A 22,804-nucleotide genomic window follows, 5' to 3' on the forward strand; every position below is an offset into this window, starting at 1 on the left:
ACTTGGGTTCTTCAGCCATTTATGAAAGTGTTCAACCAACTGGTCACAGAAATGTCCAGGCAGGGATCCCTTGGGATGGCAGAACCATGGCTCTGTCAGAGGTGGGCCGGACTATTCTGAGGATAGTCTGTTGCCAGGAGTTCATGTGGGTACCAGGCACCCCTTGGAAGGATGTGATGGGAAGGGCACTTCTTCCCAGAACCCCAGTCGAACCATGGGTAGCACATCAGACAAACCCAAATCGAGGGACTTTCTTCAAAACACAGAACGGTCCAGGTCATGACAGACAAGGAAAGGCCGAGGACTCGCCACAGACTGGAAGACGCTACAGAGACAGGACATCCACATGCAGTAGGCACCTTGGAGGGGATTGTAGGACAGAAAGGGGGCCCTCGTAGAAACACGGGTGAGGTCAGTGAAGTGTGGAGGGTAAGAGCAGCAACCTGTGTGGACGCTCCATTTCCTCCTGTGTTTCCAGGGCTGGCACTGCACGCTGGGCGCCTATGCATGGCCCCAGCTGGACGACCCGAGGGGCTTGGCCTGCGGGGAAGGTGCAGGACATGTGCCAGTGCCTCCGGCAGCAGCACTTGTTCCTGGAATGGAGGCACCACTCAGGGGTCAGCACGGAGCACCGGCTCAGTCCTGCGGCCAGCGCTGCTGCGAAGTCCTTAGAAAGGCTTAGCAGTCCTCCGTTCATTGCCAGCCAGCAAGAAAGTGTCGGCTGAGAGTGTTGTCTCACTGTCTTGCACGACTGTGCACCCAGCTTTGCAGCTCAGACAGACACACTGGGTGGGTGCCACTGCCTGGGATCTACTTGCACCTCCCAATTTACGCAGAGGGAGTCATTCCACTTAGAGCCCCAGGCTGGGGAGGGCGAGTGGCATTTGGGTTGTAAAGACTGAATGCCTACTGTGTTTGGAGCAAAGCAGTGAGCCCCCAAGTCACAGCCCCTGGTGTGGACAGAAACGCCATCAATGGGAACCCCTGAGTATCTTCAGGATTCAGAAGAGGGAAGAGCAGCAGGACTTTGCAGACCTGGGAAACTTCATAGGGAAAGAGGAGTGTTCAGGGTTATTCCAGTAGGGTGAGAGAAGGGAGGAACACCAGGCAGGATGAACACGCTGTGGCCATAGTGGGCTTGGGGAGCAATGCACCGAGGTGCTGTTCCTTTGTTTAGCCCGCATGTTGAACCTACTCTGTCCGATGCTATGCTGGGTGACTTGCGTAATGCTGAACATACAATCAATACATGTCTCTGGCTAGCTGGACATGTAGTTCAAGGAATCAGAAACACAGTCAACAAATAAACAACATTGTAGCTACAAATTGTGGGGAATAAAAACATGAGGGAAGTAATCCCAAGAAGAATAATGAGGCCTCCCTGCGGCACTGGGCAGTTGGCCGTGTGAGAGCTGAAAGGGGAACAGAAACCAGCCAGGTGGAGCTGGTAGAAGGTCACTGCAGGTGCACTGGCCTCCTCTGTGGCCCTGCCCCAACCCCCGAGTCCCACCTCGTGTTCTCATCCTTGCCCTGGTGGTCAGTGTCACACAGCTGCTCTCTGCGGCCCTCGCTTTTCTCCGGGGCATTCCTGATGCAGCGGGGAGGATCCCCGGGCTGGATACATGAGGGCATCAACACTCCCTGTGGCAATGCTTGGACACCAGGGAATAGGGGCCCAGGAGTAACGGGACACCTCCCACCCCACTGCATGGTGGACAGGGCTCCCCTGAGGCCCGTCACCAACAGTGGTGGCCAGCCTGGCAGCACACGCTTAATTTGTCCTTCCTCCCTGCCGGCTCCACACTTCCCAGTCTCCCTCTCCTGCCCCCGGCCTCCCTTCCCAAATCAACCACCTTCACACAGGCCCTTGTCTCCAGCTCTGCTGTCTGGGGGAGCCCAGAGGTGGCCTGAAAAATGCATCCTCAGGATGGGTTTGAGAACTCACTGCTGATGGTACGGGAAGTGGTGTTTTAGTCAGCCCAGGTTAGTATAATACAAACACAACCTGGGTGGCTCAATTTCTCTCTCACCATCCTGGAGACAGGTAAGTCTAAGATCAAGGTGCTGGCAGATTTACTTTGTGATGAGGGCTCTCTTCCTGGTTTGCAGGCAGCCACCTTCTTTCTGTAGCCTCACGTGGCAGGCAGAGAGAGAAGGCGGTGCTCTATCTTCCTCTGCTTAGAAGGAGCCTCACCATTGTGACCGCACCTAAACCTACATAATGCCCAAAGGCTCACCTCTAAATGCCCTCACACTGGGTGTTAGGGCTTCAGCACGGGAGATGTGGAGGGACACACACACTCAGTCCATAGCAGGTGGTGACACACAGGAACATGCAGCTGAGGCTCATACCGTGACCCTCCCAGAGGTGCTCAGGGTGAGGTGCAGGTGGAAAGAAATGCATTAGCTTCCTCGGTCACTGTGGTATTGAACGAAATGGAGGAAATTGCTCTATAAAGACTGTGGAGTTGGCTGACTTTAGAAGCCCCTAAGAAAGAAAACGATGGGCTTGGCAAGCCACCCTCAGCTCAAGGCTCCCTGTGAAAGCCAGAAGGTTCCAAAGGCAGTGTTGATAGAGGCCTCCGCCTCCTGCGGCTGCTGGGGAGGCTGCAGAAGGTCAGGCCCAAGGGCTGATTGAAGAGTAGCAGAGCTACAAGAAAACAGAACTTACAGCCTTGACATATCTCCTGTGCCAAGTCAGGGCCCTGTGATGAGCAGCCCCCTGCGACCTGGGAGGAAACACCTGCTGTCCATGGCCTGACGCTCTCGAATGCCTGACACCCCTGAACCCCCAGAGTGGGCAGAGCGGCTCCCTCCTCCTGCTAGTCACACAGACACTGGCCTGCAGGAGTGAACACGGAACCTGAGTGTGTGTCTCACATGAACACTCTCCAGAGTGTCCACTCCAGAGAAGGAACTTAGCCCCGGGTTACAATATGATGTGTGTGCCTCCCTCAAATGTATATGTGGAAATCCTGACCCCTCAGGGGGTGGTACCAAGAGGTGGGGTCTCTGGGAGGCTCCACCCTCATGCATAGGATTAGCATCTTTTTTTTTTTTTTTTTTGAGACAGAGTCTCACTCTGTCGCTCAGGCAGGAGTGCAATGGTGCCATCTCGGCTCACTGCAACCTCTGCCTCCTGGGTTCAAGTGATTCACCTGCCTCAGTCTCCTGAGTAGCTGGGATTACAGGCACTTGCCATGATGCCCAGCTAATTGTTTTGTATTTTTAGTAGAGATGGGGTTTCAACATGTTGGCCAGGCTGGTCTCGACGTCTTGACCTCAGGTGATCTGCTCACCTTGGCCTCCAAAGTGCTGGGATTACAGGTGTGAGCCACTGTGCCCGGCCGGATTAGCGTCTTTAGAAAAGATGTGTCAGGGGCTTGGGGTGCCCACCTGCCACTCGAGGGCTCTGCAGGAGACACGGTCTGTGAATCTGCCGGCACCTTGGTCTTGAACTCGCCAGCCTTCAGATCCAAGCAACACATTCTTGTCTATAAATTACACCATCAATGACATTTGCTTATAGCAGCCCAATCGTACCAAGCTGACCAGGAAGACAGAATGAGCTGTGGGTGTCAGCAGGCCCCTCTCAGCACTGGTGCCTTCTGGGCCGGTGATGGCACAGCAGGGGTTGGGAGGAGGTGGGTGCAGGCCCACACAGGGGCTCCCTGTCACCCATTCTGCTCCCGGTTCTGCCCACAGCGCCCGACCCTGATGTGGCGTCTCACTGAGGGAACAGCGGGCTGTGCACGTGTTGATCACCTGGGAAGAGGCGGCTGTCTGCACTAGAGCCACCTCCGCTCTGTGTAGGAGGGAGGCTGCTCTGCTAGGTGATGGGCAGTCACAGCAGCAAAAGGGGCCTTGAGAGAACCCACCCAGCTTAGAGGCATGAGGCTCCTCAGAGGGAGGCAGCCCTGAGCGAGGCTGGGGCATTGCTGGTGAATCCGGGTCCCTGGAAGTTGTGTGTGTGTGTGTGTGTGTGTGTGTGTGTGTGTGTGAGAGAGAGAGAGAGAGAGAGAGAGAGACAGGGTCTTGTTCTGTCACCCAGGCTGGAGTGCAGTGGCACGATCACAGCTCATTGCAGCCTAGACCTCCTGGACTCAAGCAATCCTCCCACCTCAGCCTCTTGAGAAGCTGGGACCACAGTCACACACTACCATGCCCAGCTAATTAAAAAAAAAATTTTTTTTTTAGAGATGGGGTCTTGCTGTGTTGCCCAGGCTGGTTGAAAGCTCCTGGCCTCAAGCAGCTTCCTGCCTTGGCCTCCCAAAGTGCTGGGATGACAGGTGTGAGCCACCATGCTCAGTGGAATTTTGCTTCATTGCTTTTTTCAACTAAGCAAAAACTGATTGAATTGGCCACTGTCAGATGCACATGAAAGAAACAGTAAAGGGAGTATTTGCTGCAGAGGGAAAATGATCCCAGATAGAATCCCAGTGATAAAGGAATAAATCGACAACTTCCAGTGACCCGTATTCACCAGCGCTGCCCCAGCCTTGCTCAGGGCTGCCTCCCTCTGAGAAGCCTCATGCCTGTAAGCTGGGTGGGTTCCCTCAAGGTCCCTGGTGCTGCTGTGACTGTCACCTAGCAGAATCTAAATAAAAATAATTGTATAAAATTAACAATTCATTATTTATTTTTAAACATACAGAAAATTAAAATTCATGAATCTGATATCATGTAGGTCCGCGTGGGGTGTTCTATGGGGAAAAGAGCTCTAGGGCCCTTGCATTGTCTCAGAAGGGGTAAAGGTGCTCTCTCACTTCTATTAGAGTTTAATAAGTCAAGGATACATGCCGTAAACTGTAGGCTGACCACTAAAAATAGCAAAAGAATGTCTAACTAATAAACTACTGGGAAGAAATGTGTGATAAAAATTTCTTAAGAGCTTGGCACCGTGGCTCACGCCTGTAGTCCCAGCACTTTGGGAGGCTGAGGCAGGCGGTCACCTGTGGTCAGGAGTTCGAGACCAGCCTGGCCAACATGGTGAAACCCCGTCTCTACTAAAAACGACAAAAATTAGCCAGGTGTGGTGGTGTACATGCCTGTAATCCCAGCTACTCGGGAGGCTGAGGTGGGAGAATCGCTTGAACCTGGGAGGCAGAGGTTGCAGTGAGCTGAGATCACAACACTGCACTCCATCCTGGGCGACAGAGCAAGACTCCATCTCAAAAAAAAAAAAGTTATTAATAAAAAGGTAATCAATAAAAGAGAAAAGGGGATGGCAGAGGAAATGTGAAAAATAGTAAGCAAATAGTAAACTGATAGATTTAAACCCAACAGCTTCTATAATTACACAGAATGTAAAATAGCTAACTATACTGATTTAAAAAATAAAGATTAACAGTTGGAACAACGACAACAAAAAAAACCCAAACCATAACAACTAAGTGTTTCCTAGAAGACGAAATATACCATAAAAATTATGTACTAAAAATAAAAGGATGAGAAAAAACGCATGATGCAAACACCATCTCTACAGGAATGCTGGTGTAGTTACTCCAATATCAGACAAGTAGCCCTTAAAGCAAGAAGATTTACTAGAAATAAAAGTGGAGCGTGATGAGAAAAGTGCCAATTAACAGGGGAGCTGCAGCTCTTCTAAATTTGCATGTGGCCAATAAGAAAGTCTCAAAAGTTATAAAGCACAATTGAAAGACACGAAAAGAGAATTGGACCAACTGACCACCATAATGAGTAAACGGATATTCCTCTTCCGGTGGCCGAGGAGCATAAGGAGGAAACGGAATATTCCTCTTCCGGTGGCCGATGGAACACGTTGACCCCTTCCCTCCTCCCCTCCCCCAAAAAGACTAATTGTGTGGCAGATTTAAACAATCTCAGGAACATAAGTAAGCAAGTATAGAACATTGTACCCAATAACTATGAAATACACATTCTTTTAAAGGTCCTTTGAACAGCTCTAAAGCAAGCCATGGTTGAAAGCACTGCAATGACACAAAGTAGATACTCTTTTTTTTTTTTTTTTCCGAGACGGAGTCATGCTCTGTCACCCAGGCTGGAGTGCGGTGGCTTATCTCGGCTCACTTCAACCTCTGCTTCCCAGTTCAAGGAATTCTCCTGCCTCAGCCTCCCGAGTAGCTGGGATTATAGGCGCCTGCCACCGTGCCTGGCTGATTTTTGTATTTTTAGTAGAGACGGGTTTCACCATGTTGGCCAGCCTGGTCTTGAACTCCTGACCTCAGGTGACTTGCTCGCCTTGGCCTCCCAAAGTGCTGGGATTACAGGCGTGAGCCACTGCGTCTGGCTGAAGTATATACCCTTTAATCTCAGTAGGTTTACGTCAGTGTTTCTCCATCCTTTTTTCATTATTATTCTCTCTAAGGATAAAAATTACACTTAATTTAATTAGTTTAGATTAAATTAAATTTCTAATGAAAGAAATGAAATACTAATGGATAAGATTTTGTCAAAGTTGAGCTTCAGAGAGCAAAATGTTGTAATACTGAAGGATTTTTTGGTCCCTGAATAACGAATTTTTACCACTTCGGTGATGATGTCGCCACTAAACCCTGCCCAATTGAGACTGCATGGTTTAAATGAAATAAAAATCCCCAAATATTCTGAAATTAAGTAATATTTTAATTGTTCATGGCTAAGAAAAAAATATTGGAAATTTAAAATGTTTCAACTAAATGAAAATAAAAATAAGGCTTGTTGAAACTTGTGGCATGCAATTAAAGCCAGACTTTAAAAAACTACATAAATGTAAATGCATACTTTAAAGAAGGTAGAAAGCCTAAGAGGTATCTAAGTATCTACCTTCAGAAGTTAGGGCCGGGCGCCGGGGCTCACGCCTGTCATTCCAGTACTTTGGGAGGCCAAGGCGGGCTGATCACAAGAGATCAGTAGTTCAAGACCAGCCTGGCCAAGATGGTGAAACCACGTCTCTACTAAAAATACAAAAATTAGCCGGGCATGGTAGCAGGCACCTGTAATCCCAGCTACTCGGGAGGCTGATGCAGGAGAATCCCTTGAACCTGGGAGGCGGAGGTTGCCGTGAGCTGAGATTGCGCCATTGCACTCCAGCCTGGGTGACAGAGCAAGGCTCCATCTCAAAAAAAGTTAAGAGGAGAAAGGAGATAAAACATAAGAAAATATGAAAAAAGTGATGATAAGAGTAGAAACTATTGATGTGGGAAAAAATAAAGAGAACCAACTAGGTAAAAACTTATTTCTTTGAAGAATTTCGAAAAACCCAGACAATTGGCAAGATTGATAAACATAAATTTAAAAAACTACACAGATTACCAATATCAGAAATGAAAAATGAAACATCACCGCAGCTCTTACACGTACAACAACAACAAAAGGATATTTTGAACTGTTTTATGTAAGTACTTCGACATCTTAGATGAAATGGATAAATTCCTTGAAAAACACAATTTACCCCAACAGAGGCAAGAAGATATAGAAAACCTGAATAGGCTTTTTCTATTAAGGAAATTGGCATCCATAATTTTAGAACTTTTCACAAAACAAAATCCAAACCTATATGCCTCTCCAGTGAATTCTTCCACAACTTTAAGGAAACACAGTGGTCTCACATGTGCTGATGGAGACAGAAGAAAGACGAGGAAAGTGCACCAACTCGTTTTTGGAACCAGGATAGCCTTCGTACCAAACTTCTAAACACATTGCCAGAAGTAAAACTTACAGACCAACATCCTTTATAAACATAGATGCAAAAATCACATTAAGAATAGCAAACAGGCTGGGCGCGGTGACTCATACCTGTAATCCCAGCACTTTGGGAGGCCGAGGTGGGCGGATCACAAGGTCAGGAGTTCGAGACCAACCTGACCAACATGGTGAAACCCCATCTCTACTAAAAATACAAAAATTAGCCGGGCACGGTGGTGCATGCCTGTAATTCCAGCTACTCAGGAGGCTGAGGAGAATCGCTTGAATCTGGGAGGCGGAGGTTGCAGTGAGCCGAGATCATGCTCCAGCCTGAGTGACGGAGACTCCAACTCAAAAAAAAAGAATAGCAAACTATGTGTAGTATATCTAATTAAAATGAGGATACATTATGACCAAATAGAATTAATCCCAGGAATGCAAAATTAGTCAATGTTAGAAAATCCATCAATATAACTCAGGACAGTAGTAGAACACAGGAGTAAAATGTGTGACAATCTCCAAAGATGCACAAAACATAAAATTCAACATCCAGTCATGATCAAAGTTCTCAGCAATTCATATGGCAACACTTTAAATCTGAAAAATATAATTTACAGAACAACTATAACAAGCTTTCTACTTAATCACACAACAGTAAACAGTGTTACCCTGAGATCAGGAACAGAAAGCAGGTTTACTGTTACCACTCATGCCCTCGCCTTTTAACTGGAGGAGTTCTAGACAGAGAACGAAAGCAAATAATAATAATAATAATAATAATAATAATAATACATTAAGGATTGGAAATGAAGATATAAAACTGTGTTTACTCATGGAAAAAATTATTTTATACGTAAAAAAATTAAATACAGATGAAGGTGACTACAGGTCAATATTCAAAAATAAACTGTGGGCTGGGTATGGTGGCTCACGCCTGTAATCCCAGCACTTTGGGAGGCCGAGGTGGGCGGACCACTTGAGGTCAGGAGTTCAAGACCAGCCTGGCCAACATGGTAAAACCCTGTCTTTAATAAAAATTCAAAAATTAGCCAGGCGTGGTGGTGCACACCTGTAATTCCAGCTACTCGGGAGGCTGAGGCACGAGAATTGCTTGAACCTGGGAGGCAGAGGTTGCAGTGAGCTGTTATCACGCCACTGCACTCCAGCCTGGGTGACAGAGTGAGACTCTGTCACAAAAAAAAACAATAAATAAATAAACAAACAAACTATGAAGATCTGTCTCTAGTGATGACCAAGTAAGCTCCTATCAAACCAATCCTACTGCAGAAAGTACTATAAACTCAAGACAAAGTTTAAAAAAAAATCAACTACCTGGTCAGGCACAGTGGCTCACACCTGCAATTTCAGCACTTTGGGAGGCTGAGACTGGGGGATTGTTTGAGCTCAGGAGTTCAAGACCAGCCTGGCCAACACGACAAGACCCCCGTCTCCACCAAAAATTAAAAATTAGCCAGGCATGGTGGCACGAGCCTGTGGTTCCAGCTACTTGGGAGGGTGAGGTGGGAGGATCGCTTGAGCCTGGGAAACGGAAGTTGCAGCGAACTGAGACTGTACCAGTGCACTCCAACCTGGGTGATAGAGCGAGACCCTGTCTCAAGAAAAAAGAAATAAAAATTCAACTACCTGAAGAATGACTCAAAAGAAGACAAATTCTAGAGGTAAATTGACACTTAAAAAAAGGAAACAGCTTCCCGGTATGTTAGTTTGCTGGGGCTTCCATAACAAAGTACCACGGGCTGTGTGGCTTAAACAATAGATATTTACTTTCTCACAGTTCTAGAGCCTGGAAGTCCAAGGTCAAGGTGCCAGCAGGACTGGTTTCTTCTGAGGCCTCTCCCCTTGGTTTGTAGACAGCTGTCTTCTCCCTGAGTCCTCACCTCGTCTTCGCTCTGTACGTGATATAGTGAGGAACAATTATTCAAAGAACAGCTAACTCCTCATCAGAAACAACAAGGCCAGAGGAGAGTGGAATAATATCTTTTTTTTTTTTTTTTGACAGAATTTAGCTTTGTCACCCAGGCTGGAGTGCATTGGCGCCATCTCAGGTCACTGCAATCTGCCTCCTGGGTTCAAGTGATTCTCCTGCCTCAGCCTCTCGAGTAGCTGGGACTACAGGTGCCCACCATCACACCCGGCTAATTTTGTACTTTTAGTAGAGATGGAATTTGCACCATGTTGGCCAGGCTGGTCTTGAACTCCTGACCTCAGGTAATCTGCCTGCCTCGGCCTCCCAAAGTACAGGGATTACAGGCGTGAACCACCGCACCCGGCCTTAAATATTAATTATTAAACACTTTAATTAAAAGGCAAACATTATCAGAGTGGACTTCAGAATGCAAAGCCCACTGTATGCTGTCCTCAGGAGCTCCCCTTCAGATATAAAGAGTGGGCTAAGAACCAGTGATGACGAAGGATACACCATACAAATAATTAGCTTGAGAACGCTGGACTATCAGCTGTCCCAGTCTCAGTAGACTTCAAGGCAGAGAATTAAGAGAAACAAAGACACATTTCATAATGTCTGAGGAAAAAAAATTCTGTTTTTCCCTACTCTTACACAATGCTATTGAAACCAAACGGGGTGTTTTTCACCCACATCAACCAACCTCCAGTGCTCCAGACACCAATGCAACGTCCTAAAACTCAGTCATGGTATTACTTGGAGCTAGTGGGACCCCGTGGGTTGAGGGCTCAGTCCTGCAAGACTGCCTCCACTTCAGACACCAGTTTCAAGCAGTGGGTCCCCAAGTGACCACTTCTGTCCAATGTAAATGCATATTAGGGTTTCCCACGAACCCCTCTTCAGGTTTCATAGTTTGCTGACAGCTTACAGCACTCAGGGAAACACTTATGTTCACTGACGTATTATAAAGACTATGGATGAATTCTCAGATGAAGAAAGTTGCCAGTGCAGGAGCTGGGGTGCACCCGCAACAACCCCACCTGCAAGCATGTGGGGTTGCTCACCAAATCGGAAGCTCTCCGAACCTCCTAGTTGGGGATTTCACCAAGGTCTCGTCACGTGGGCGTCATCAGTTATGAGCTCCATCTCCAGCTCCCCCGGGAGGTTGGAGCTGAGAGTTCCAGGCTTCTCATGACGGCTCGGTCTTTTCCGGTGACCAGCCCCTCTCCCACAAGCCACCAAGAATCACCTCATTAGAACAAAAGGTGCTCCTATCACCCCAGAAATTCCAAGGAATTAGGGGCTCTGTGCCAGGAACTGGGGACAAAGACCAAATATATATTTCTTGTTATTTCACAATATTACATCTCAAATTAATTTCGCAAATGAGGCAGAAAGGTGAAAACCCGTGCCTTGGTCACTAGAAATGGAACTAGGAGGAAAAGATGAGGGAGAAAGTGCAGCTGTGTGACTCTTAGACAGATGTTGCTCCTTGATAGATCACAATTCAGCCCAGAGCCTTGAAACTTCTTGGTCAGAAACTTGCAGCCTTATAGAAAATTTGCAAAAAAAGTACAAAGAATATCCAATCCTTTCCTCGACTCATTTACTGTTAACATTTTGCCCTATTTGCTTTAGCATTTGTTTTGCTCTCTCATCTGATATATAGTATATAAAATGTGTAAATATATACATAAAAAGGAATAAAATATCCTATATAAATATATATTTTCCCCTAAGTTATTTGAGAATAAATTGTGTATGTTGTGGCCTCTGAATGCTTTATTTAGCCTCTGAACATTTACCTTCTAAATATTTCAGTGTCTTTCCTAAAACCAAAGACATTCTCTAACATAACCACAGGACAGCTATCAATTTCAGTAAATTTAACATTGATAAAATATTTTTATCTAATCTACTGCCTGTGTTCCAGGTTCACCACAGACTGATAATGTCCTTCAGTGTCCTCTTTCCCCCAGCACAGGATCTATTCTAGGATCATAGATGGCTTTTAATTTTCTTGTTTTTTAATCCTCAGCCTTCCTGTCTTTGATGGCATCAGTGCGGTGTTTGCTTTAATGATAATACAGAATGTGTTTATGGCATTGGAGCTATTCCTCTGGTGAGAAGAAGAGAGCCAGAGTCAGGGGCTTCTAGGGTGGGGCAGGCACCCCCCCCAACCCACCGCAACTCTCTCCAACCCAGCAGAGCACCAAGCATCAACAGCCCTCACCTGTGACCCCTCCCCTAACTCTTTCTTGAATCCATTACAGGACCCGCAGGGCAGACAGTCTGCAATCACAAGGCATGGATCTCGTCTCATGCAGGGCAGCCTGTCCCTTGCTCCCACTTTCTGCCCACAGGTGTCAGAGGAAGGGAGGAAAAGAAAGAGGACTTCTGGGACCCCAAGACCCCCACCCCAGGCTTAGAGGAGGCAGGAGTCAGCAATGCCATTCTTGATAGCCCAGGTATCCTGGATGTCAAAGAAACAGAAAGACAGGCTCTGAGAACAGGAGACTCCTTCACGTTCTCCCGTCCTACAGCCACGTGTGCTCCCACCCTGACAGAGATTTGTGGAGTTCAGACTCCAATCCTCGGCTTATCTGAAACAGTCAGAGAGAACCGTGTGCGATCTGCCAGAGGAAAACATTCAAAACCAGTTTTTAGGTGGTACTTAAGTTATTTCAGGCTATCTGAACTCTGGGCTAATCCCAGTTATTTCAGAATTTGAAAATCTTCAAAAGAACAAAAGAAAGCCCTAGAGGCATTACAGATAATTATAATAAAACATGAGTGACATTTTTAATTGCAAAATTGCTCAAGAAATAGCATCTTCAAAGTGGGAATTGATCTATAGCTGATACTGACTATTGCTTATGGTTGCTTCCAAATTATATTCTGCCCCTGACGTTTTTCCGATGGAAAAATCAACATCTCTTTCAAAGATCGAATATTGTGTTTTCCTTAATTGAGCATCTAAATGATTTGCCCCTTCCAGTGGGTTCTTTTTCTGTCTTCATTCACCAGCCGGCTTCCATTTCTATTCTGCAGCGCTGCTTGCTAGCAGTTTCTGTCAAGCCAGTGCTCAAAGTTTGTCAATTACTCATGCAAATGAGCTCGGTTGCCAATCCAGAATTGGAAGAACTGGGTTTCCCTTTTTATTTTAAGATTGTGCTAGAGTGCAGGGAAAACCAGCTGTGTCCGTCAGAATGCTTTCAGCTGCAAGGGACAGAGAACCTCATGAGGGGAGCTCGGCCAGTCGGGAGAACGGGTCACCTCGAGTCACAAGTCCGGGGGGAGTGCAGGTCTGGGGACCCCAAGGAATTCAGGGGCCACAGACACCACAATTCTTCCCTGTCTCTGCTGTAGAATCCAGGCTCTCTCCTCCAAGGGGTGCAGCTGAGGAACTCAGAGAGCAGATTGACCCCGCCGATCCCGGCTGCAGGACTAGCAAGGGCTTCATCTGCAGGTCCCATCCCCTCCAGGGAGGATGGGGATGACAGCCAATGCCCTCGGGTGCGCACCATGGCCAGGACACTGCCCCAACACAGGCCATTCTTTTGATGACCCTGCGAACGTGCACGATGACTGACTCCCGTGTTACAGAGGAGGAGCCAGGAGCACGGAGACGTCAGGAGTCACCCAAGACCATGCAGCCCAGGAGCCAGGATCTGCTCTGCCTGTGCTTTGCACCGACAACCCTCACTGTCTGCACCTCATGGGGTTGTCTGGGTCCTGGGGTTTGTATGAGTAACACGCAGGCAGGCACATGGTCATGCTATCCACTGCCAGCTACCAGTTTTCCGAGCACTATCCCATTTCTTTCCTGGTTCCCAGCTTGTCCCCATGTGGCACCTGGAGGCCAAAGGCAAATCTGGGGCTGTGCATGACAAGGGCTCGGGTGGGAACTCCGCCCACAGACACACCCACCCTCCTGAGGCCCATGTCTGCTCTAGGGCGAGGCCCTGGCTTCCATTGGGTCCACGACAGGCAGGGCTCGAGGTGTCATTATTTCACCCCACAGCCCAACGTGCTTCTGTCAGTCGACGGTTTTTACTCCAGCGAGCAGCATCACCCTTAAAAAGGTGGCAGAAACATGGGAGATGGGTGGGAGGAGGGCAACAGAGCCACCGTCTGCTTTCATCGCCCAAGCGCAGCGGCTCTGCCACCTGGCAGCCGAGGCCATGCAAGATTTCGCAGGAGGAGCCCATGGCCGCGGGGAGGAGGAGTGGGCGCAGGAGCCCACGGAACAGGCCAGGCAGGAGGGAAGGAGGAGTGGGAGACCCAGGCCATTCTCCTTCCCACTTTGGCGCTGGCAGACAGATCCAAGGAGCTGCCGCCAGGGCGGCCTCCAGGCCCCCGAGAAGAATTCCTCAGAGATTTTGCAAAGCCAGGGTTTCCTTCACGCAGTGCCACTGTCACAGGCGTTCGAACCAGAGCAACTCCATCTTGAGTGAGGGCTGGAAAATGAGGCTAGGCCTTGCTGGGCTGCATTCTTAGGAAGTCAGGCATTCCGAGCCTCTAGATGTTTACAGTTCAGGGAACAAATTAACAATGTTTACTAAACAGACCCAGACTTGAGAGTGTCCAGATATCCCCATAACTGGAGAACAAAGGCATTCCTAACTTTGCTTTAAAGCGAATAATATCTATTCTTGTAAAATATAGTAATTAAGAAACCTAATCCTTTATCACAAACCCTTGTAGCAGAGCACATCTCCCCATATGAAGCAGCATTTTCCCAGGGTGGACGCGTCCCTCCTCTTACTTTCTGGAACGTTCTCCTCTGTCTATGGAGCAGCTGCACTTTCACCACTTTGCTTTCTTAATAAACTTGCTTTTACTTTGCCCTGTGAACTCGCCCTGAATTCCTTCTCGCGCAAGACCCAAGAACCCCCTCTTGGGGTCTGGATTGGGACCCCGTCCTGTAACATATTTCTGGCGACCACAGAAGGGATGATAGTGCAGAATCCCTGAGCTGATGGCCACCTGAGGGTGCGTGGTGGGTCCTGCAGCACCCCTGCCTGCCCCACTGGCCACCTCTGCTGCAGGGGGCTTCAGCTGCCACCTCACAGCAGAAAACGTCTCGCCCTGGAAATGAAGTGGGTTCTGCAGGAACCAGGAAGATTTTATTTGATTGCAGTGGTGAAGAGAGAAACGGTCAAAGCTGACTCTGGCACAGGACAGGCTTGGAGGGCGCCGAGGATGAGGTCGAACAGACGATCGCGTGTGCGCCTTGACCTTCCCTGTGCCCTTGCCCTGCCCTGCCCAGCACGATCTGGCCGCCGACATTCTACACGGATAGCAAATGAGGGTCTGAGTCTTCATGTCTTTCCCCTGGAGCTACGCTTCCCACCTGGGAAGCTTTCAAAGCAAACTGGCTGGGACTCCACCCTCAGGTTTCCGATTCCATCACCTGGGGTGTGGCCCTGCCATGGTGTTTCCGACAAGTTCCCACGTGACGCGGCGAGGCCGGCTGCAAAGCTCTGCTCTGGGTCTTTGTTTTGCAGTTTGGAGTAGAAGCATCAACAACGCAGTTAAGCACCAATTCAATGACCCCCTATTTAGTACCTGGCATATTTTGTACTGGGCATGGGACTTGGTTATTGCGCCCCACGTAATTACAGGGTACAGTCCGGGCTGAGAGCCACTTCCCCAGGGATATACACGTCCAGCCCCTGCCTAGGAGGTGTTCCTGGTGGATCTACCTCTTCCTTCAAGTTTACTGTTAAGGGGAGGGATGATTTTTATAGAGAAGGGAGAGTTTCGAAAATGCCAAGTCTCTTAGCTCAGTGTCCGTGCCAGACCCTGCCCTGCTCCAACAGCCCTAGGGCCCCTCTTTCCTGTTCCCTTCAGCCTCTGTTCTTGCTTTTTTGCTGAATCAGCAGAGCATAAAAGTGTCGTCAGATCAACTAGCATCTGCTCCATGCTATGGCCATGTAGGTAGGCAGTGGCTTCTGTCCCACCAGCCACATGGCCACAGTCGTCCAGTTGCCCAGGAGGGGAAGGTGAGTGTAGTATGCCGTCACCACCCTCAGCAGCCTCTCGCGCCACGTCCTGTGACTCGACCCGCATAGTCCTCCCCTCCCAGTGCCCCATCTGGAAATGTAACTCATCTGCCTCTCCAGGGGCTAAAAATCTGATAAATTAATTTCCTTTTAAGATATAAGTGGATTGATAAAGCTTAGTACAGTTACCATCTTAGAGATGCCTCTATTCTGTTGGCCATAGTACCTCCACGTTGAAAGCATGAAGATTCTGTAATGTACATTGGGAGAGAATTCCCCACAGGTCTCTCACATTGCTGTGTGTCTTGCAGGCAAGGCACTAACTGCCTTTGTCCAAAGCTGTCTTTTCCAGAATGACTGTATAGCAAACAGCCTTGAAAGATACAGATCGTTTCTCTCTGGAGCAAAGGGTAAGCATGTTTCCTGCCTATGATAAAAGATTTATATCTTCTGAGCTCAGGGTTTCTCTCTGTAATGCACCTGCTCTGTGTGGGGGCACCCACCTGTGCCCATCCACTTCCAGTACCCCATGGCACTGGAAGACAAGAGGAACTGCCGTAAAGATGCAGATGCCTGTGCTGCCTGTGCCACGAGTGACAGGCTTTTGTCTCTGACCTCGGAATCTCATGCCTCCTACAGAATCTCTGAAATGGGCAGGCTGATGTGTTAGCTCACAAGTGGTGAAATCTCAGTCTTTCACAGTTTCTGGCACTATGTTCACACGGTGGATGATTACACAGCTGTCAGAATGAATGCACTGCAGTGAGACACAACATGGTAAAACTCAGCAACGCAATAGTAAGGCAAAAAGTAGTCTAAAACCACTACAGAAAGCATAATACCACGTTAGTAAAGTTAAGCACGTCTATATTAACACACTTTTTAGGAATACCTATGGGTGCAAAACTATTTTTTAAAAAGTGAAAGTGGAGAAGCAGGGACATGGGATTTAGGATGATGGTCAGCTGGGGGTGAAGAGCTAGGGGATGGTGCGGGAGCATGGGATCAGGTGCAGCCGTGTGGTTTAAGGCAGGTTACAGCCAAAATCCTGGCTTCTGTTTGGGTTGTAGACACTCCATCCACATTATCAAAATAAAACTAGTAGCTCACCGTATTGGCCAATGAATGAAACTGTACTATGTGAAGCAAGGATTATTATTAATTTAGTTTGTTTACCTGAAAATAGTTAGATAAGGATGGACAGATAAATAGATTAAATAAATAAATGCATGGATGAATAGACGGATGGATACATAAACAACAGACAAAAAGCTTGGCGGAAAACCTCCTTCCTGAGGAAGTTTCTTACTCAGGAACTCTTGTCCTTTCTTTTAATCTAAAGATGAAATGAGACATCTTATCGGGAATATTGGTTTAGAGGACTGAGTACCAATGCCACGTGGCAGCGCTTTTTTTTTTCTTTTTTTTTTTTTTTTTTTTTTTGCATAAACACCTGTGATAGCAATTTCTTACATTGCGCAGCCCAGAGACATCCTTCAAGTCCCCCAGTCTGGGCGTGGTCAACTTTGCTGTATGTTCAGGGAGACCCAGCCACAGCATTGAGGGAATTTCTAGAAAAACTCAACAGCTGACCTCTTTGCCTGGCTCCCTGAAGTCCCAAAGAGGCTGAGGGACCCTGGGAACAACTGGAATTGCGGGTTTCTCCCTTGGGTGTTCGCGGGCCTGGGCACAGCGCGATGGGAAACGCAGGTGCCGCCCACCCAGTCGGCAGTTCCGGACCTGCACGGCCGTGCACTCTGCCCCCAGGTGGCGCTCTTGGGATCTGGCCCGCATGGCGGGGTCCTTTGGCTCAGCTTGTTCTGAGCCCCCAGAGCTTGAGCTGCCTGTGCCAATGTCCCCCTAAAAGGGATGCCAGTTTACAGACTTTTCTAGGCCTCTAGGCTTGAGGTAAATCTTACAAGTTAATTTCCTTGAAAGACAGAATTGCTGTGGGTGAAGAAAGGCTTGTATGGCTTGTATGGCCTGAGCAGGGAATGAGGTGTGTAATTTAAAATTACTTCATGGCTGGGCATGATGGCTCACGCCTATAATCCCAACACTTTGGGAACCTGAGGCAAGCAGATCACCGGAGGTCAGGAATTCAAGACCAGCCTGGGCAACATGGTGAATGAAACCCCGTCTCTACTAAAAATACAAAAATTAGCCGGGCATGGTGGCGCATGCCTATAATCCCAGCTACTCAGGAGGCTGAGGCAGGAGAATTGCTTAAACCCGGGATGTGGTGGTTGCAGTGAGCCAAGATTGCACCACTGCACTCCAACCTGGGCAACAGAGCAAGACTCTGTTAAAAAATAAATAACATAAAATAAAATCAGTTCCTAGAAAATGAAATATCGACCGTTGAAATGTGGAGTTTCTGAGGCTACGCAGCCCAGGCCCTGGCTGGAGATTTGTGCTAATAAGCCTCGTGACCCTGGGCACAGCCCAGCTTTATCACCTTCCCTGTGGGTCAGATGCGGAGGCAGCAGCCAGTCTCCAAGTCTGCTTCCAGTGCTGAGATGCCGTCATTCCTGCTTCCACACCACACCCTGGTCCTCGCTGCAGGTGTCCGTTTCCCAGGCCCCTGAAAGAGGAATTGGAAGATAAAGATTCTATTTCAGGCACGATGACCGCTCTCTGATCCCTTCGTCTACACAGCAATTGCACACAACTCCTTTGAGGTTGTTGTTTTTCATCCATGGCCTTCGGTTCACGATGCCCATCACGCCCCCAGTCCAGGAGGATTCATTAGACAATGTCTGTGAAGGGCTGACCTCATCAAAGGGAAGTGCTATATGAATCCGAGGCATTAAAAATAGAAGTGAAGCCAGAAGATGTTTAATCTCAAGGGTAAACGTTTCCTGTGCTGCTCGATAAACCGCACGTGTTCAAAGAGGAGCAGGCAACACAATGCAAGGAGGAGGACGGCGTCTACACGGGAGTAAAAGCAGGCCAGCCCATCGGGCGCTGGAAGAAAAGGCACCCCCGTGCTTAGAGGCCCACTGATGACCAGAGGGGCTGTCCTGGGGCCCACATACGCAGGAGGTGAACAGCATCCCCGTGCCTTGCTCGGCGTTTCCGTGAGGTGTCAAGGCAGCCCTAAGCGGTGCATGTGCCCTGCAATGGGAAGGCGGGGTGGGGCCCTAACCTTCCCCTGGACCTTGGGCAAGCACTTCCTGCCTCTGAGTCCCATCTTGGAGAGGAGGGCTGGCCATACACTTTTCAGTTTGCACAAAGGCCTGTGATGCCTTTGCTGCATGAATTCCATCAAACCCATCCCTGCCTGAGAGGCGTCGGAGCACCGTGGCCAAGAACCCAGATCCTGGAGCCTTGGTTCAAATCTCACTTCTGTCACTTAATATTTCCCCCAATATTTTGTTAAGGAAAAATTTAAACATGGAAAAGCTGCCAGAATGGCTCAGTGAGCACCTGCCCACCCGCCGCCTGCCCGCCACCCACTCCTACATGCTAGCAATGGACATTTTATCACATCTGCCCCCAGGTCCAATGCTCTGTCCACCAACCCATCTTGCTTTCATGTATTTCAAATGAACTTTAGGCCAGGCAGCCTTCCTATCAGGAAGGCTGAGGCATTGGCCTCCCATGGCTGCTCCAGCAACATCTCCAAACCAACAAACAACTCTGCCCAAGAGCAACCAGAGTCGTGTGGATTTCACTTTACAAGTAAGATGCCAGATTAGGGAGAAGGATTACAAATGGGTAGGAAAGTCAGGGATGGTCCCTGTGTGCCTGAGTGCTGTCACTGAACAGCAGCGGGCATCCGTGATTCCGATGCCCACATCAGGGCCCTTCTGAGCACCAGGTAGGTGGCATGTCCAGCACTCCCAGACCCACCAACAGATGACTCGGAAAGGCTGGGCTTTTACTGAAACATCTGTACCAAGAAGTCATCTGCTAATAGTTTTCTTTGTCAGACTCTCTGTTTTCATGTTTCATCATGAGCAATCTCAGCGTTAGAGGAAGTTTGGAGAAAAATAACCCATTGCCCACACCTAACTATTTATGTTTATTTTTATTTATCTATTTTTTTATTTTTTTGCCGGGCCACTTCATGAGACCTCATGTAGTTCACCCTCGGCAACCTCAACATGTCTCTGAAAAACAAGGATGTTCTCCTGCACAGTCAAAGTACCATTCTCACACCTAAGAAAGTCAGTAACGATTCCTTAATACCATCTCCTATCGTGTCCAAATTCAGAATGTCCCCGTTGTCCCCACATGCCTTGTATTACAGAACCAGTCAAAGTTCATGCATTGTATTTTGTTTTTCTGTCTCTATTGCCTCTTTATTTTATTTTATTTTATTTTATTTTATTTTATTTGAGACATAGTCGCACTCTCTTGCCCAGACTGGAGTGCAGTGGTGCCATCTTGGCTCACTGCAACCTCTGCCTCCCGGGTTCAAGCAATTCTGCTGCCTCAGTCTCCTGAGTAGCTGGGATTACAGGTGTCCGCCACCAGGCTCAGCTAATTTTTTGTGTTTTTAGTAGAGATAGGTTTCACCATGTTGGCCAGGCTGGTCTCGAACTCCTGACCTCAGGTGATCCACCCACCTCAGCCTCCCAAACTGTTGGTGGCGTGAGCCACCATACCTGACCTAGAAAAATAATTTACTCTTTAAATTTGATTGGATTTTAACAAAAGTATGTTCATGCCTCCTCAATACATCTTCTATGAGAACTGCATACAGACATTCACCTGTTCACAAGAAACTTTAGTAAATTATTTAAATGTTACTGTGCCCTCCCTGGATTGGACTTTGGAATTTGCCTTTCATTAACACACTACAGTCTGACATGGGGCTAAAATATAAACACTGTCTCTATTTTAAAATAAGTGATCCTACTTAAAATTAGCAAAATGGAACCCTGTTAGGCTGTGAAATGAAGTGCCCAGTTGGACGTCAAGCAAGTGCGGCCTCCCCATTGCCTGACCATCCACCAGTCTCCCTGGAGTGGTGGCTGCTGCATCTGACCCTGACTCAGATGTTAGTTGACTCCAGAGTGTCCGGAGTTTGCCAGCTTCCTGTGTAGAGCCAGAGTGAGACGGGCAGGCAGCCAGGAACGCACCTGCAACAGATGCCCATTGGATGGAGTTTCTCTCCCGGCTTCCCTGCCCTGCTCCCGGAGTCTCCCAGGTCCTAGGCCCTCACTGCCTGAGGCCACAGCCCTGAGTATGCATCAGCTTTTCCTCCCTGAGCTGTGCCAGAGCCCTGAGCCCACCTCGTACCCCCAGGATCCCATCCCTGTCCTCTGGCTTCAGGCTGGAAAGATGGCGGTGTCAGTGGCCCCCAAAAAGGTCATGTCCACTAGAAGCTGTGAATGTGACTTTATTTGGAAATAGGGTCTTTGTGGGCCAGGTGCAGCGGCTCACATCTGTAATCCCAGAACTTTGGGAGGCCAATGCAGGTGGATCACGAGGTCAAGAGATGGAGACCATCCTGGCCAACATGGTGAAACCCCATCTTTACTAAAAACACAAAAATTAGCTGGGTGTGGTGACCTGCACCTGTAGTCCCAGCTACTCGGGAGGCTGAGGCAGGAGAATCACTTGAACCTGGGAGGCAGAGGTTGCAGTGAGCCGAGATCACGCCACTGCACTCCAGCCTGGTGACAGAGTAAGACTCCGTCTCAAAAAAAAAAAAAAAAGGAAATAGGGTCTTTGTGGGTGGAATCAAGTTAAGGTGAGGTCACACTGAAGTAGGGTGAGCTTGGATGCAACCACCAGTGAGTGTCCTTAAAGGAAGGAAATTGGGCCGGGTGCAGTGCCTGTAATCCCAGCACTTTGGGAGGCCAAGGCAGGTGGATCACCTGAGTTAAGGAGTTCGAGACCAGCCTGGCCAACATGGTGAAACCCCATCTCTACTAAAAATACAAAACTTAGCCTGGTGTGGTGGCAGGCGCCTGTGATCCCAGCTACTGAGGAGGCTGAGGCACAAGAATGGCTTAAACCCAGGAAGCGGAGGTTGCAGTGAGCTGAGATGGTGCCACCGCATTCCAGCCTGGGTGACAGAGCGAGAGTCCATATCAAAAAAAAAAGAAGAAGGAAATCTGAACACAGACACACACACACACACACACACACACACACACACACACACACACACACGGGAGACCAGCAAGTGACGTTCAAGGCAGAGGCTGGAGCGATGTGTCCACCAACCAGAGGACACCGAGGATGGCGAGGATGGCGAGGACAGTGAGGATGGTGAGGATGGCGAGGACACCGAGGACGGCGAGGACACCGAGGACGGCGAGGACGGCGAGGACGGCGAGGATGGCGAGGATGGCGAGGACACTGAGGATGGCGAGGATGGCGAGGACGGTGAGGACGGCGAGGACGGCGAGGATGGCGAGGACACAGAGGACGGTGAGCATGGCGAGGACGGCGAGGATGGCGAGGACGGCGAGGACGGCGAGGACGGCGAGGACACCGAGGATGGCGAGGACGGCGAGGACGGTGAGGACGGCGAGGATGGCGAGGATGGCAAGGATGGCTGGCAGCCAGCAGGGGCTGGGAGAGGGGTGAAGGGTCTTCCCCAGAGCCTGCCAAGGGGGCATGTTTCTGCCTACACTTTGACCTTGGGCATTCGGTCCCCAGAACGGTGAGAGAACGCACTTCTGTTGTGTATACTATGCAGTGTGTGACACTTTGTTACGGCAGTCCTAGGACATGAACTCAGGAGGCGTCAGTGACTGGCCAGGGTGTCCTTTCCAAGAAGGTTTTAAAGCAGGACAGTGTCTCAGCTCAGGAGGAAACATCTAAAATGGTGAAGGCGTCGGACCAGCTACTCAGCAGGTAGAAATCATATCTCAGAATGCAAGAAGAGAATTTGAGAAAACTGCTTTGATCTGCAGGTTTTGAAGGAACGGTGGGCATTTTGATGTCACTTTTCTGAGCAATTGTGCTCAAGGCGACCATGTAGACATGGGAAGGCATAACTGTCTGTTTCTAAGCACTGCTGGTAACAGACACCCCTGATCAGACAACCCGATCATTCCTCATCCCAGACCTCCCCCTTTTCCCTGCTAAGGAGATGCTGGCCAGGGAAGAGGCGAATTCACTCAATAATTCAGCAAAATAACTCGATGACTTTTTTTTTTTTTGAGACGGAGTCTCACTCTGTCACCCAGGCTGGAGTGCAATGGTGCCGGCTCGGCTCACTGCAACCTCCACTGCCTCCCAGGTTGAAGTGATTCTCCTG

General features: G+C 48.8%; 3 annotated features.

Annotated features, from left to right (window-relative positions):
• Nucleotides 1,611-2,111: an enhancer, noted in NCBI's record as "H3K4me1 hESC enhancer chr13:113279517-113280017 (GRCh37/hg19 assembly coordinates)". NCBI's record gives its function as "activates a minimal SCP1, AML or CMV promoter by ChIP-STARR-seq in primed H9 embryonic stem cells {active_cell/tissue: H9 hESC(primed)}" and the evidence as "EXISTENCE:reporter gene assay evidence [ECO:0000049][PMID:30033119]".
• Nucleotides 13,291-13,960: an enhancer, noted in NCBI's record as "H3K27ac-H3K4me1 hESC enhancer chr13:113291197-113291866 (GRCh37/hg19 assembly coordinates)". NCBI's record gives its function as "activates a minimal SCP1, AML or CMV promoter by ChIP-STARR-seq in primed H9 embryonic stem cells {active_cell/tissue: H9 hESC(primed)}" and the evidence as "EXISTENCE:reporter gene assay evidence [ECO:0000049][PMID:30033119]".
• Nucleotides 19,067-19,250: a silencer, noted in NCBI's record as "fragment chr13:113296973-113297156 (GRCh37/hg19 assembly coordinates)". NCBI's record gives its function as "represses an EF-1alpha promoter that drives an FKBP-Casp9 reporter gene in an ReSE screen in K562 erythroleukemia cells {active_cell/tissue: K562}" and the evidence as "EXISTENCE:reporter gene assay evidence [ECO:0000049][PMID:32094911]".

The sequence above is a fragment of the Homo sapiens genome, chromosome 13 (genome assembly GCF_000001405.40).
Source record: "Homo sapiens chromosome 13, GRCh38.p14 Primary Assembly".
NCBI lineage: Eukaryota > Metazoa > Chordata > Mammalia > Primates > Hominidae > Homo > Homo sapiens.